A 16,517-nucleotide genomic window follows, 5' to 3' on the forward strand; every position below is an offset into this window, starting at 1 on the left:
TGTGGCGAAACTGGAAGCTGGAGGAGACTTTGAAGGGGATGTGGCTCTGCCACACCTTGATTTCGAGCTTCTGGCCTCTGAAACTACCAGAGAAGGCTTTTTTGTTTTTTGAGACAGAGTCTCACTTTTGTTGCCTAGGCTGGAGTGCAATGACGCGATCTCAGCCCACTGCAACCTCTGCCTCCCAGGATCAAATCATTCTCCTGTCTCAGCCTCCCGAGTAGCTGGGATTACAGGCGCATGCCACCGTGCCCGGCTCAATTTTGTATTTTTAGTACAGACAGAGTTTCACCATGTTGGCTAGGCTGGTCTCAAACTCCTGACCTCAGGTGATCCACCCACCTCGGCCTCCCAAAGAGATGGGATTACAGGCATGAGCCACCGTGCCCAGCCTTGAGAATGCATTTGTTTTAAGCCCTCAGATTGTGGCAATGTGTTACGGAAGCCACAGGAAACTGACGCAAGTGGCTTCCCACTTCCCTGCAGGGAAACCCAGGCTCATCTGCACAAGGCCCCTCCCTGGCCTTCGCTTCTAGAAAATACTGAGCTCTTTGCTGCCTCAGGGCCTTTGCACTTGCCCTTCCCTCTGCCGGAACATTCTTCCTCTCGGCATGTATGGCAGCTTCTCCATCCTTCAGGCCTCACACAGGTCTTCACAGACCACGCCACCGGCGGCCCAGGATTCTGTTTGTTTACTTCTCAGCACTGACCTCAGTGTGTATTTAAATAATTGCATTTAAATAATAATTAAACATGTGTCATGTGCTTGTTTGTCTTCCTTGCTCCAACATAGTATCCATGGGAATAAAGACCTTATCTGTCTGGTTGGGCGCCGTGGCTTATGCCTGTAATCGCAGCACTTTGGGAGGCTGAGGCGGGCGGATCACCTGAGGTCAGGAGTTCAAGACCAGCCTGGCCAATATGGTAAAACCCTGTCTCTACTGAAAATACAAAAATTAGCCAGGCTTGGTGGCTCGCACCTGTAATCCCAGTCAATCAGGAGGCTGAGGCACGAGAATTGCTTGAACCCAGGAGACAGAGGTTACAGTGAGCCGAGATCACACCACTGCACTCCAGCTTGCGCAACAGAGCGAGATTCAGTCTCAAAAAAAAAGACCTTATCTGTCTTATTTACCCAGACTCCTCAGCTGCAGCTCAGTGCCTGAGCAAGTTTTTGTTGAATAAACATAAACCCTTCTATTAATAAGGCCGTGGCTAAGTCCTATTTATCTTGTTCTTGACCTAGGAGATGATAGGTTGTCTTGCAGATAGTTTTGCAGATACTGTGGTCTTAGTTTTGTACGACTGAATTTAAAGCCTTAGCATTCTGGCCAGGCGCGGTGGCTCACGCCTGTAATCCCAGCGCTTTGGAAGGCTGAGGTGGGCGGATCACCTTCAGTCAGGAGTTTGAGACCAGCCTGGCCAACAGGGTGAAACCCCGTCTCTACTAAAAATACAAAAAGTAGCCGGGCATGGTGGTGGGCACCTGTAATCCCAGCTACATGGGAGGCTGAGGCAGGAGAATCGCTTGAACCTGGGAGGCGGAGGTTGCAGTCAGCTGAGATTGCACCATTGCACTCCAGCCTGGGCAACAAGAGCGAAACTCCATCTCAAAAAAAAAAAGCCTTAGAATTCTGGGGGATACCCCGATGTCACCCCTATAAACCATTCTCATAAGCCTGCCTCTGGCATGTGATCATTAGAGCAAAAACTGGCTACTCCTAAGAGTAGTGAGTTCTCCATTCATGGAGGTGTGCAAATTTTCACATATACTAACTTATTGATCTTTCCCATTTCCAAGAACCCTATGGAGTCTTTAGGGTTCTCCCCTCTGATCTCCCTGGCTTCCCCCCAGCCTGCAAACTCCCTTTTCTCCCCCTCCATTTTTCTGGGCCACGCTTTCAGCTTTTTTTCAATAAGACAAATCCAAGTCTATCTCAGAAGTCTAAAGTGTGTACGTCTGCTCACACATATAATTTTACTATGAGATAGTTTATCAGTCCTGAATGTATATTTAGTGACAAGCTTGGCTAATCTTTCATCTAATTACACTCATTAACATTTAAATGTATAATCATTAATATATCTGAGAATGGCGGTCTAAATATTTTATAGAGGTCTTAATTACAGTAGATTTCCAGTCTTGCCATAAAACTCTCGCACCCCTCCAATTAACGGGATGGCATCAGGTAGCTCCAGGGCCCTGGCTGGGGGTTGGTGGTGGCCAGGGTCTCTCACTTTCTGGTTGCAGGAGAAGACAAGAAAATTGTTCTCTGTGATTTTTTTTTTGCTGCCACGCCTCTGTCTGCAGCCGTCATGGGGTCCCCTGGAAGAGGGAAAAATCAAAGACAGGATCACAAAAATTGAAAATAATAATTGTTGCTGCAGAGACTTTAGGGAGTTGATTTAAAAAAAAAAAAACACTCCTTTCTTCCTCTACTAAATTAGGAAGTAGTTGTGGGGGTCTCACAGAAGTCAGACAAGCAAAGATCACAGTGTTTTGTGACCGAAAGGGGGTCTGAGATCATGGCTGGGATCCTGGGCCACGGTGTCTGGTTGATGCTGAATGCCAGAAGTAGACAGACTTACCCACCTGGACTGGCACAGGCGGGCAGCCACAGCCCCCCAGCAGCTGCCCTCCCCTCCCATTAACAGCTGTCTTCACACCTTTGAAATCTCTGTGGATTCTAAAGCTCATCTTCAGATATCGTTTCCACCTGTGAGGTTGCTAGGTTGTTATTGTGCCCATTTCACAGAGTTAAACACTGAGGCCCTGAGAAGTTGCTGGATGTCCTGAAGGCACATGGCGGGCGGGAGGCTGAGCAGGACCTGAATCCTTAGTGACCTGCTGTGAGTCCCAGCCAGACTGAGACTCATCTTATCCCAGCAGCCATACTGGGTCTGTGAGAGGACCTGGCATGTACCTCCACACCTTCCAGGGACAACTGGGGCCTGTGGCCTCCAGGGTGATGAAAGGCCTTGCAGGGTGGGACCACCAGGCTCCACTGCTCCCCACTGCACCCCCATTCCATGCCCAGGTCCAGCATCTGCCCCAGCCTTGCTACACCAGGGACTGCCTACCTGGATATGATTAAGAGCAGGGGGCTCAGAACCAGACCCACCCAGCCTGAACCTGGCTCTGCCTCTTACCAGCTGGGTCAGTGTAATCTACCTTTGCCTCAGTTTCTTCATTTGGTTGTTTGTTTGTTTCTTTGAGACAGAGTCTTGCTCTGTCACCCAGGCTGGAGTGCAGTGGTGCAATCTCAGCTCACTGCAACCTGTGTCCCCCTGGTTCAAGCAATTCTTGTGCCTCGGCCTCCCTAGTATCTGGGATTACAAGCGCCCGCCACCACGCCAAGCTAATTTTTGTATTTTTAGTAGAGACAGGGTTTCGCCATGTTGGCCAGGCTGGTCTCGAGCTCCTGACCTCAAGTAATCCACCTGCCTCGGCCTCCCAAAGTGCTGGGATTACAAGCGTGAGCCACCAAGCCCAGCCAGTTTCTTCATTTGTAAACTGGGGAGAATGATGGCATTACCTCTCAGGATTGCTTTGAGGAAAATTTGAGTGAAAACATGCAAGGTGTAGAATAATACCCACCCCATAGGAATCACTCAATAAATGCTGACTACGGCTGTTACTGTGGTGATTGTTATCATCGGTTATCATTGCTGTTGTCATTATTAGTGCTGGGGAAGCCACCACCTTTCATCATGCCAAGTACTGCCTGGCACCTCCATGAATGTCCTCCCCCTTAACTAACCACAGTAACACACGGACAGCGTTGTCGTGGCCTGTGCAGGACTGAGCTGGACTTGAACCCAGGACCAACCCCACAGCTCATCTTCCTTCCCCAGCCCCAGGGGCCCTGGGGACTCACAGTGGGAACAACGCCTACCTTGCCCACACCTGGAGCTGCCCTGCCTCACTGCTACCCCAGGCGGGTGTCTACTGACGTCATGGGGACCCACAGCCCTCCAGGTGATACAAGCTGGGTTACCGCATTCCCCACACACTAGTCACTGTTCCGAGGGCATTGCATATACAAAACCAGTGCTATGAGGTGGATGCTGTTTCTAAAAGCTTTTAATTAAAGGATCACATAATACTCACATAATACATGAATCTCAAGTTTATATCTTGGAGAATTTTTACAAACTGAATATACTGTGTAATCAGCACCCAGATCAAGAATAGGACCTCATTCGCTTCCCAGAAGCCCTCCTGTGCACCTTTCTTGCCACTATCCCCCTCCGAAGGTAGCCTGTCGCTGACTTCTAGCCATGGAGATTAATTCTGCCCCTCTTGCATCGTCTCTTCTTAGCACTGTTTACAGTATATACTCATCTGTGTCTGGCTCCAGAAGCGCGACACTCGGTCCGTGTGGCTCTTCTGCGTCACGTGTGGCCATCGTTCATTCATTCTCACCAGGTCAAGCCATCCACCATGTGAAGGGATCACAGTGGCTGCGGCCATTCTCCTGATCAAGGGTGTCTGGGGAGTTTCTAGTTTGGAGCTTTTACAAATAGGGCCGCTGTGAACTTTTTCGTGCAGGTGAACGCACAGATGCAGGCCTTTCAGACATATACCCAGGTAGGAACTCTTTTCATTCCTTTTACAGATGGCAAAAACGCTGGCATGATGTGACTTGCCCCAGGTCCCCCCACATCACTCTAAGGAGCGGCAGAGCTGGATGTGAACCCAGATTGTCTGGCTCCGGGTTCTCACTCGTGAGCTCTGCTCTCTGCAGCCTCTCTCCTCTCTTGTAAACTTTTCTGGGAAAAGGCTGCTGCCTGCATCTGCCTTCAACAACCCTGCTGTGTCTCTGTTACGCAGCAGGGGTGAGACCAGTCCATATCACTAGGCACCCAGGGCAGCTTCCCGATGGACAGTCTTGAGTAGGACACCAAAACCCAGAGAGGGTGCCTGAGTTCCCAAGGCCACACAGCATGCGGGTTTGCACCCCAGTGTCCTGCCTCCCTGTCCACCGGCCATTCCCTGCTCCATGCTGCCTCTTCCTCCTTTCTCAAGACCGAGCCCAGGCCATTATCTTGCCTGCATACGACCTCACACACCCACACAAGCCTTTAAAAATAGTCCTCGTTGTGTGGGGCATGGGGCCTGAGGCTGATATTGCATTTCCAGAAATCTCCATTTCCCCCTCCCGCTTCAACCTAGGGAATGTCCGTGTTCCGGGCCCATTCCCTGCCACTATTTTTAGTGGTGATTGGGAGGAAGGAGGACATTTCCTGGACTCCCCTTCAGAGGCTGGAAAACAAACACCACCCGCTCCCAGTCCCGGCCCCTCCCATTTCCCTCCTGCTGGTATACCTTGGCCTCCTGTCTCCCTCGGGGAGGAGCAGGCAGTGGGGGCCTGCTTCCCGGGGCCCTCCGCCCTCCTGGCTTCCAGGTGACCTCTGAGCTCTTCCAGGGGCAGTCCTGAGCCGGGGTGGTGGCAGGGACAGTGTGCCCTGCGTGCAGTTAGCACCCTGAAGCCTGCAGAGGGCCCCTGTGGCTCCCTGCAGTCCCTCTTATGACGGACACTCTGTCTGCAGGTTTCGGTCCCCTCCCTGGGACCGGCCTAGCTGTTTCCAGCCCTTTCTCATTGGAAGCCCTGGCTCCTGGCATCTGTATGAGTTCGTTTTCATGCTGCTGATAAAGACATACCCGAGACTAGGACATTTACAAAGAAAAAGAGGTTGGGGAGGCCTCATAATCATGGCGGAAGGCAAAAGACACTTCTTACATGGTGGCAGCAAGATAGAGCATGAGAGCCAGGGGAAAACCATCAGATCTCGTGAGACTTATTCACTGCCATGAGAACAGTACAGGGAAAACTGCCCCCAGGATTCAATTACCTTCTACCATGTCTCTCCCATAACACGTGGGAATTAGGGGAGCTACAATTCAAGATGAGATTTGGGTGGGGACACAGCCAAGCCTCATGCATCCATGCCTGAGGCAGAGGCTCTCCAGATGGCCAGGACGGGCCATGCACCCCCCTCCCTCCCATCACTTCCCTGCCCTGGCTCCAAACGGGTCTATCCAGTGGTCTTGCAGCTCTGCTGAGAACCACGCCCGCACCCCGCCCCAGGGTGCTGCTTCCTTCTCAAGAGTCTGCCCAGTCCAGCCTGAGCCTCTCTGGCTGTTAGGCAGTCACTCTGCATGGTTAACCGGAGTTTTGCGGTTGGGGAGCTTTTGCTCTCATTCAATACGCATTATTCAATACTATTATCCCCATTTGACCGTGAGGCAAAAGGCACTTACCCAAGGTCACAACAAGCAAATGGTAGGGCCAGGCTGAGAGTCCAGGCCTCTGTCTGTAGAGCCTGGTCCCTCAGCCATGGATGGGCCCAAGTCTCTCCTGCTCCCTCTTCCGTGGACACTCACTCAGGTCAGCAGTCAGCACCCAGCCGAGCCCACAGACATGGCTGGACTTGTGATCAGTTGCCAATGTGGAAACATTGGGAGACATTTAAGGCATGGGAAGTAGCCATCACCTGGAGTTGGGAATTTTCTCAAAACTTTGGGAGGCCTGGCATGACTGGGCCACATTCGGTCAGTCACCCCCTCTAGGTGGGGTTGGTGTTCTAGGTCCCCGCTCATGCACCTGTCTGACTCATGATCCCTGGTAGGCTCTGTGCACAGCTGCGGGTTCTACCTGGATGGTCCTGGGTCCCTCAGCTGGAGAACCAGGGAAGGGGCAGATTAGGATATTTGGAAATGGTGAGCACTGAGCCTCTGACAGCCTGCTTAAGCCCCCAGGTTACCTGTTAACCCTTTCCTTTACCTGCCAGGGGCTGTGCCGAATGCCAGCTCCTAGAAATAGCTGAGGCCCAGGCCCTGCCTTCAGGTGGCCTCTAGGCTAGTCTTAGGGGTGGGTAGGTCCTGAGCTGGGGGTCTGGTTTCCAGGCTGCTAGTGCGGATTCCTGTAGGGCCGGGTAGTGGATGGGCAAGGCCATGATCACGCTTAGCATGAGCTGTGGGCTTAGAAATCCAGGAACAAGCTGCATTGAATTCTCAGCAGGTTATGGGGTAGGGGAGTCTTCAGGGGAAAGGAGGAGGTGCTTGCTTCAGTGAACATTTCCCACGATAAACACAGAATACACAGTGTTAAGTTGGTGGCCAGTTCAAAGGAAAACAAAGAACAGGGAAGGGTGTCCAGGGAAGAGGTTGCCGAGAAAGGCATGTTTGAATAAAGAGGAGATGGGAGGAAGTGAGACACGTGGGTAGGAGGGGGAAGGAAGGAGGGCCTTCCAGGCAGAGGGAACAGCTCATGCAGAGGTCCCGAGGAAGGAGGCCAGTGCATGGACAGCCAGGAGGCCAGGGCAGCTTCCCCGGAATGTGAGCTGGGGGAGGATGGGTACAGGACCTGGAGACAGATCTTGGGGGGGTCCTTGTAGACCATTGGAAGGACTTTGCGCTCCCCCTTGATGGGGACAGGAGTTGTGGGAGAGAAGCAGAGAAGTGACATGGTCTGAGCTGCCTTTTAAGGGGACAGCTCCATGGCAGGATTGATATCTACTGAAGGGTTGGAAAACCAGTTAGGAGACTACCGTGTGACCCAGATATGGGGGTGGGGGTGGGGACACAGCCCGGGTGGGTGAGCAGGGTAGTGACTGAGGAGTGGTAAAAAGGGCCCAGGTCCTGGTGCCATGTTGAAGGCAGAGCTGGCGTGGTCGGCTGATTAATTGGGGGTGGAGTATGAGAAAAGTTTGGGGGGGTGGTCAAGGAAGATTCCAGAGTTTAAGGCCAGAGCAACAGGAAGGCTAAGGCCACTGTGAACTGAGTTTGAGGGCACTGAGAAGAGCAGATTCTTGGGGACTGGTCAGGGACTATCTTGGATGTGTTAGGTTTGAGTTGCTTTTAGAGGTTCAAGCAGAGGTGTGGATGCTCTGGGCTCTGGGTCTGGAGTTCAGGGATGAGGTCCAGGCTGAAGCCTGTGGTTGGACTGAAGCCACCAATGCCCAGAGGTCAGAAGGGAACAGAGTCCAAAACGGAGCAGGCAGAAATGAGAGGAAACCAGGAACACGGGCCCTGGAGGTCAAGCGAAGACTTGTCATCACCTGCATCGCCTGCTGGAGGCAGAGCTCATCAGATGGAGAATGTGGATTCACACTCAGAGGTCGTTGGCGACCGGCATGGAAAAGCCAGAGCCGGTCCCAGAGAGGATGGTGGGAAGGAAATGGAGACGGTGATACGGTCAACCCTTTTGAACATTTTTGTTCCAAAAGGAAGAAGAGAAATGGAATGAGAGCTGGAGAGGGACATGGGATCAAATGAAGGTTTTCTGTGAAAGATGTGAGAGAGAATTGCATGTTCCAATGATGCTGAGAAAAATTCAATAGAGGGCACATGCCAAGTGCAAAGAACTCAGATGGTCCGAGGAGCCTCTTGTAGAAAAGGGGAGGCCTCAGTTTCCAGCGGAGGGAAGGCACAGCAGCAGCCAGGCTAATAGCGGGAGAGCCTGGTAGGGGAAGTGACCCTCACACTCCTGGACCTGGGGTCTCACCTCTGTGGGAAGCACAATGTCTGGGGTCTTTCCCCAGCCCTGGGCACCTTAAAATTTGAGCACTCTGGATTAGCAGAAACTTTGGTCCACTTGAGTCTTCTCATTCCTGGCTGGGATGTGGACACAGTTCACCAAGCCCAAGGCAGCTTAATAAGAACTTCAGCCATGCCGTGGCCAGCTCCGAGATCACCAGGACTGATGCTCAGGGTTCTGTCAGGAGGCACAGGGAAATCAGCATGGCCTGTCCCTCCCAGGGAGGGCAAGAGGGGACAGGCAAAGAAAAACAAGATGTCCTCTGCCCTCATGGCACAGGATCCTGCTGTCCCTGGGGCTGTCCACCTAATTCAGTCATTCATTTGAAAGTCACTATTTCCTGAGCACTTACTATGTGCCAGGCACTGCTGTCGTTGTGGAGGATACAGCAGTGAACAGGACAGACCAGGTCCCTGCCCTCCAGGAACTTAATATCACAGGTTGGGAGTGGACATGAAAATAAGTAAACTCATTAATCCTTCACTTACCTTTGGCCCAGGTGAGGGAAATAAAGTCTGCTCTTTCACCCTTAAGCATGCTGTTTGGAGTTTTTTTGCCACCATCTCACTGGTGTGAATAGACTCATTTTCTACCAGTTGAGAAAATTGGTTCTCACTTTTTTGGTTAAGTAGAATTGCCCTTGGTTCCATGGAGTATGCTGGTAATTGGCACAGCGCTGACCAGAATAGTTCTCAAACATGCCAGCCCTGATCAGGCACTACTGGCATCTGCCTCCCTGTCAGGGGCAGAGCTGGCAAACCTGCCCTGTTTCCCTCCCGTGCCATGGCAGACATCCCTAATCAACCCAGCTTCCTAGGGAGCCTAGTTGATTAGTCGTGTCTTCCCTGGCGTGTTACTGGAAAATAAGAAGCTATTCCAGATATTTGCCTTTCCTGCCCCAGGCAGGAGGTTGGAAGGGTCATGCTGACTAACTTTCCAGGGTGCACTTGGAGAGAGAGTCTATGGGTCATCTGGAAAGATCATGGGCCTGAGCGACAAAGTTCTGGGATCAAGTTCCAGGTCAGCCACTTGTTGGCTGCGCGAGCCGGTCAACCCACTTCACCTCGTGGTGAGAAGATAAAGGAAATTAACATTGTGGGGAGCAGACTGGGCGCAGTGGCTCAGGCCTGTAATCCCAGCACTTTGGGAGGCCAAGGCGGGCGGATCACTTGAGGTCAGGAGTTCAAGACCTGAGCACCACCTGATGTGACGAGAACCTGATTAACCTTTATAAAGCAGGTTAAACTTTAACCTCTTCCGAACTCACCTTACTCATCTTTGAAACGGAAAAAAAAACAAATAAACTGCTGTCCGCCCATCCCAGGACCATAAATTTGTGGCCTTGAACTTGCTGCCCTCGACTGGCCCTTTCCTTCTCCCTGACCTGGGTCTCTTCCCCGGGGCTCTTTACTTGGAAACCTGCCTATTGCTCAAGTCAGCCTGTATTTTCTGGGGCCTCCTAGAGCCTGAGCTCAGGCCTGGGAGCCACGGGGAGCTGGAAGATAGGAAGAGAGGTTAACACTGAGCACCTGCTGTATGCAGCTGAGCTCTGTCCTGGGTCCTGTCACATAGAGCCTTGCCAGGTGGAGACGATCATGCACAGCTTAACAGCTGGGGATAGGGAAGCTCAGAGAAGTTGCATGTGGGGTCTCAGGCCCCGCAGCTGCTAAGGAGCAAGTGACAAAGGTGAGGTCTGTTGGGATTTCAGAAGCTAAAAGGAAGCTCACAGACTCCAACACCCTCATTATGCTGGGGGAAAACCGAGGCTTAGAGCGGGGGAAAAAAGCAGCACCAGAACCTGGGACCCCCACCCCCAACTCTGAAGCTGTGTCTTTCTGAGGTTCTCGTCTCCCAAAATGCTCAAGGTCAGCACCCCACAGTCACTCAAGACCAGATAGCTTGTCCCTATGGCAGAAATGATTCAGCCCTCTGGATCCATGGGTTCCACATCGATGAATTCAACCAACCAAGGATCGAAAATAATTTGGAAAAAAAAAAAATGGATAGTTGTGCCTGTACTGAATATGCACAAGACATATTTCTTATCATTTTTCTCTAAACAATGCAGTGTAACAACTACTTACATAGCATCTACATTGTATAAAGTATTATAGGTAATTTAGAGATGATTTACAGTACACGGGAGGACGTGTGTAGATAATTTGCAAATACTATGTTTCATCGGGGACTTGAGCATCGGTGGATTTTGGTATTTGGGGGAGCTCCTGGAACCAATGCCACACAATACCAAGGTTGACTGTACTGTCAGCTGCCGTCTACAGATGAGGAAACTGAGGCTTAATCAAACTTAGGCAGATTCCCAAGCCAGTGCTTCTTTTTTTTTTTTTTTTTTTTTTTTTTTTTGAGACAGAGTCTCGCTCTGTCGCCCAGGCTGGAGTGCAGTGGCGCGATCTCGGCTCACTGCAAGCTCCGCCTCCCGGGTTCACGCCATTCTCCTGCCTCAGCCTCCCCAGTAGCTGGGACTACAGGCGCCCGCACCACTCCCGGCTAATTTTTTGTAATTTTAGTAGAGACGGGGTTTCACCATGTTAGCCAGGATGGTCTGGTTCTCCTTACCTCGTTATCTGCCCGCCTCGGCCTCCCAAAATGCTGGGATGACAGGCGTGAGCCACCGCTCCCGGCCCCAAGCCAGTGCTTCTAACTCAGCTGCCTTGGCCTAAGAGTTGGGAGACCTCAGCTGACTCTCTGTGCATTGGGCATTCTTGCCTCGTCTCTGGGCCTCAGTTTCCCCATCTGTAAAGGGAAGCTGAGCTAGAAGAACTCCGAGAGCCTCACATTCTGATGGGTGTTTATTAGAAGTTCAAGTTTGCCAGATTGGTTTGCCAGGCTTTCTGGCCCTTACCTGCCCACCCCTCATTTCGCAGAATGTAGTTCCTGAAGGTTCCATGGGTCAGGAACATTGCATGGAAAAGAAAGGGGGGCCCCCTGCTGGCAGCAGCTGGGATCGTCTGACGTGGACCGATTCCTCCCTCCTCACCTCTGAGCGCATGTTTGTCCAGGGTACACCCAGGCTGGAAATTTTTACAAGAGCTCCTGACCTTGCGACATCCAGGATTGGGCCCACAGTGGTTGTTTGTTTGTTTGTTTGTTTGAGACGGAGTCTCGCTCCGTCCTGTCCCACATCTGGGTTAGGGGCTGTGGCATCCGAAGCCAGAGAAGGAAGAAAGGTCTGTGGTGGGAGCTTGAGGACAAACTGAATGTCACCTCATTGTGTACCCGACAGAGCCCAGAGGCTCCTTTGTGTCGTTTTTAGTTTGTCTCCACTGGGCATTCATTCCTAAAGATTCAGCTTTTGTGTTGTCTCGGTCTTTCGCCTGGGAGGGCCCAGCTCAGAGACGTGCCATCATCGTGGGGCCACAGCTGGGCCCCTGGTTACACCCTGGTCTCAGGCATGCATGTGGCCACCTCTGAGTTGGAAAAATAAGTGCCTCCCACACACCCTCCCTCCCACCTCCAGAGTCCCCACATTCCCAGGAGCGGGCTGGTCTCATTCCATGATCCTGCAGGGCCTGCTGGGCGTGACATCACCAGTCACCATGGCAGTGGTTCCAGTGGCTTGGCTGCTGGAATAGGACCCGCGTGGGTGAGGCCAGATGATTGGGAAGTCATGCAGAGCGCTGGGGAGCTAGGAGCTGAGTCAGGAGGCCAGTCCCAGAGAAACACAGCCATGCCTTGCAGGCTGGCAGCTCATCTTGCATTAGGAGCATTTAGGGAACAGGTTTTGAAGGAGAGAAAAAAGCAGAGCTATGAGGAAGAAAGGAAGAGTTCCATTGCATCATTTTCATAGCTGTGTGTAGATTTTAAATTATTTCTTGGGGGCCCATCGCACCAGCCTCCTTGTTTGTGTAGAGTTGCAGCACCTGCCATGTGCAAACTGGATGTCGCCTCCTTGTGTACACGACAGAACTTGTGGCACCTTTGTGTTATTTGTAGTTGTTCTTCACCTGGCATTCATTCCTAAAGATTCAGTTTTTGTGTTGTCTTGGTCATTAGCCTGGCAGAGTCCAGCCCAGAGGTGGGCAGAGCGAGGAGCGCCCGTGGAAAAGAACCATGAAGTGAAGCCTCATGGGAGAGGGTAGCAGCATGACTCACAGCCTGCCCTGGTGTGTCTGTTAGGAATGTGCTGGGCTGCATGTAACAATAAACCCCCAAAATATTGGGGTTTGTTATTCTCCTGCTGTAAGGCATCCCCGGCTGGGTGGTACCATCGGGGACCCTGGCCTCTTCTGTTTTTCTTTCTCCTCCCCATTCTTAGCTCATATCTTCCATCCTTGTGCTCAAAAAAGGGCTTATAAAGAAAACTAGATTTCCCAGTGGGCATCTGTGTGCATCTTAATGGCCAGAACTGTGACACCTGCCGCTTGTAGCTGCAAGGGAGCTTGGGAAATTGAACATTTTAGGTGGACACATTCCCCACCAAACAGAATTGGAGCATCATGGTGAGGAGGAGGGTGGATGGTGCCAGTGCCAGCCATAGGTGTGAGTTTGTCTCCTCTATGAGAGCGTCAGCCTCCCACAAGGCAGGAACCACGTCTGGCTCACTCCTGTCCTCACAGCAGCAAGCCTGGCGTACAGTAGGTGCTTAATTGAACTATTTGGGGAGAGCCGCAGGTCCCCTCTTAGGCAGAAGCGAATAATCTAAAGGCACAGGCTCAGCTCTTGCTCTCAGAGAGCCCCAGGTTAGATGCAGGAGGCATAGCCTGCACCCCACCATGGAGGCAGCCCACACGTTGCACACGCAAAGCCAGGCACACGTACACACACCCCTTGGACTGCCGGATAAATGATAACAAGGATGGAGCAGCAGGGAGACCCACAGAAGCCACAAGAGGCTGCACTGCACCCCCACAAAGGCCATTTGTGAGAGGAAAGGCCTGGGAATGCCATGTTGAGGTGCTGGGGGGGTTCCCCTCCCAAGGTCTCCAACTGCCAAGAGCAGAGTCTGGAGTTTGGTTCTCATGGAGATGTGGGTAATGTAGGAGGCAATTCAGAGCCTAGGCGGGCAGGGGTCATTCATTTCCAACCAGAAAGCAGAGGCATGATTTCCCTGCCAACCAGAGGGCAGCGGTGTAAATCCCCCAGGGAGCCCATGCGACCTGCTGAGTAGCAGCTTCTTTCCACCGGAGCAGGAGGGCCCAGTGAGGCTCCAGGAAGCCACAGTGATAGCATGGCTGGGGTCAGCGCCCCTGCCCTCCAGGAGCCACTCCCCAAGCTCAGCAGTGCTCTCCTGCTACTCTCCAGCCCGCCAGCATGAAACCAGCCTGAAACTGAGTCAGGTACCCATTCCACCCCAGCTGTGCCATTAACCAGCTGTGTGGTCTTCGTTTCCCCCTCTGTGAGATGGGATGATAAAAATACTCACCCATGCACCTGCCTCTCCTAGGAGGGCGGCCAGGATCCCATGCGCATGTGCAAATGGAAATTTCCCATTCATCAGCGACAGCGGGGCCCCGGCTCTTCCTTAAGGAGCCTTCTGACCGGGATGCATCTTTATTTTTATTTTGATTTTTATGTATTACTTTATTTTTTGAGACAGAGTCTCACTCTGTCTCCCAGGTGGGAGTACAGTGGTGCAATCTCGGCTCGCTGCAACCTCTGCCTCCAGGGTTCAAGCGATTCTTGTGCCTCAGCCTCTGGAGTAGCTGAGACTACAGGCACACGCCACCACGCCCGGCTAATTTTTGTATTTTTAGTAGAGACGGGGTTTCACATGTTGGCCAGGCTGGTCTCGAACTCCTGACCTCGAGTGCTCCGCTCGCCTCTCAAAGTGCTGGGATTACAGGCCTGAGCCACCGCGCCTGGTCATACATCTTTAGATGTTGGGTCATCTTAATATGAGGTTCACCAGCAATGTGGTCGCATCATGTTAGGGGGCAGGGCACAAAACTAGCCTAGCTGTGCCGGGGCCTCCCACCCACTGCCTGAGGCCTGCAGGGCCCACCCGCTGCCTGGCAGGAGTGAAGCAGAAGAGTCCTCTTTCCATGGACTCTACCATCCCAGCCCTTTAAGGTTCCAGCCCAGCAGGCCTGGAATTCCGGCCCTGGTGACCTAAGCTGCTGCTCAGCCAAGCCAGGCAGGAGAGGACAGATCCAGCTGTGGGAGCCAGGAAGCTCAAAGCTGGAATTTAAACAGCTGCCTGAGACCTGGGGTCCCCACTGCGTGGGCCTCCTCCCCGTGGTGACATGGCCCAGCTGGCCTGCCTTCCACCTGGGGAGCTTATGTTGGACACTGGGCCAGGAGCTCAGATCCCTCAGTCCTTAGGCCATACCTGGTGTCTCCAGCTCTCTCATGTACACAGGCTGAGTCTGCAGGATTGGACGTTCAGGACAAGATGGGATGGCACAGTCATTGCCATCCCATATTCTGCCCTCAGCTAGCCTTGGGGCTGGGGACCCTCCAGGTTTAGGGAGCTTCAATGTGGAGGCAGCAGAACATAGGGTCGGGTGTCGACTTTGGGGTCAGACATGGCTGCGTGATTTTAAACAAATGACCACTCTGGCCTTGTCAGGCTGGAAGTTTCCAGAGTCATAGAGTTGCTTTGCCTCCCTAACCCCCACCACCACCTCCACAACTCCAGACACAAGGAGGCTGTGGAGAGGGGTTAGCCTCAGAAACCCCTCCTTGGTATTCTCTCCAGGAAAAGGACGGAGTGCTAGGGGTCTGGGCAAAGGCCGTGGAGCCCACCCTGCAGTCAGAGGCTGCCCTGAGTCTGTTCCGTGCACCAAGGAGCCAGCGCTGTGGGGAAGGAGAGTCTGGAGGGGACAGAAGTCATGCTGCTTCCAGGCAGCTACTCAGGGTGTGTTGTGTTGTGTTGTGTTGTGTTGTGTTGTGTTGTGTTGTGTTGGTTTGCTTTGGTTTGGTTTTAGAGACTGGATCTTGCTCTGTCACCCAGGCTGGGGTGCAGTGGCATGAACATGACTCACTGCAGCCTCAACCTCCTGTGCTCAAGCAATCATCCCACCTCAGCCTACCAAGTAGCTGGGACCACAGGCATGCACCACCACAATCAGCGTATTGTTTTAATTATTATTTTTTGTAAAGATGAGGTCTCACCATGTCGTCCAGGCTAGTCTCGAGCTCCTGGACTCAAGCAATCCTCCTGGAAGATCCCAAGGTGCTAGGATTACAAGCATGAGCCAAGGCGCCCAGCCTTATTTTGTTTTGCTTTCTTAACAGCTTTATTGACATGTAATTCACATACCATGCAGTTCACCCATTTTAAGTGTCCAATTCAGTGGTTTTTAGTATGTTCACAGAGTTATGTATCCATCACAATAACCAATGTTTGAACATTTTTACCACCTCAAAAAAAATCCCATACTCTTAGCTACCACCCCTCCCTCCCCGATCCACCCCCACACCCAGCCCGAGGCAGACGCTTATCTCCTTTCTGTCTCTATAGATTTTCCCATTGTGGACATTTCTTTTTTTTTTTTTCTTTTTTTTTTTTTTTTGAGACAGAATCTTGCTTTGTTGCCCAGGCTGGAGTGCAGTGGCGCGATCTTGGCTCACTGCAAGCTCTGCCTCCCAGGTTCACGCCATTCTCCTGCCTCAGCCTCCCGAGTAGCTGGGACTACAGGCACCTGCCACTACGCCCGGCTAACTTTTTGTATTTTTAGTAGATTCGGGGTTTCACCATGTTAGCCAGGATGGTCTCGATCTCCTGACCTTGTGATCTGCCCGCCTCAGCCTCCCAAAGTGCTGGAATTACAGGCATGAGCCACCGCGCCCAGCTGTGGACATTTCATATAAATTGAATCACATAATATATGGCCTTTAGTGGCTGGCCTTTTCCCTTAGCATGTTTTCAAGGTTCATCCATGTTGTTGCAAATATCAGTACAGTTGGCCTCTTTATCCATGGGTTTCACATCTATGAATTCAATGAACTGTGGATCAAAAATAGTCAGGGACCAGGCACTGTGGCTCATGCCTGTAATCCCAGCACTTTGAG

At 52.1% G+C, this 16,517-nt stretch overlaps 1 protein-coding gene across 21 annotated transcripts in view, besides 2 other annotated features; it reads left to right on the top strand.

Annotated features, from left to right (window-relative positions):
* Positions 1–16,517, top strand: part of KAZN (kazrin, periplakin interacting protein) — a 1,225,220-nt gene that overhangs the window by 1,123,369 nt on the left and 85,334 nt on the right. The window lies entirely within an intron of this gene.
* Positions 4,712–5,373: an enhancer, noted in NCBI's record as "H3K4me1 hESC enhancer chr1:15347400-15348061 (GRCh37/hg19 assembly coordinates)". NCBI's record gives its function as "activates a minimal SCP1, AML or CMV promoter by ChIP-STARR-seq in primed H9 embryonic stem cells {active_cell/tissue: H9 hESC(primed)}" and the evidence as "EXISTENCE:reporter gene assay evidence [ECO:0000049][PMID:30033119]".
* Positions 6,035–6,696: an enhancer, noted in NCBI's record as "H3K4me1 hESC enhancer chr1:15348723-15349384 (GRCh37/hg19 assembly coordinates)". NCBI's record gives its function as "activates a minimal SCP1, AML or CMV promoter by ChIP-STARR-seq in primed H9 embryonic stem cells {active_cell/tissue: H9 hESC(primed)}" and the evidence as "EXISTENCE:reporter gene assay evidence [ECO:0000049][PMID:30033119]".

Source organism: Homo sapiens, chromosome 1 (assembly GCF_000001405.40).
Source record: "Homo sapiens chromosome 1, GRCh38.p14 Primary Assembly".
NCBI classification, from domain to species: Eukaryota; Metazoa; Chordata; class Mammalia; order Primates; family Hominidae; genus Homo; species Homo sapiens.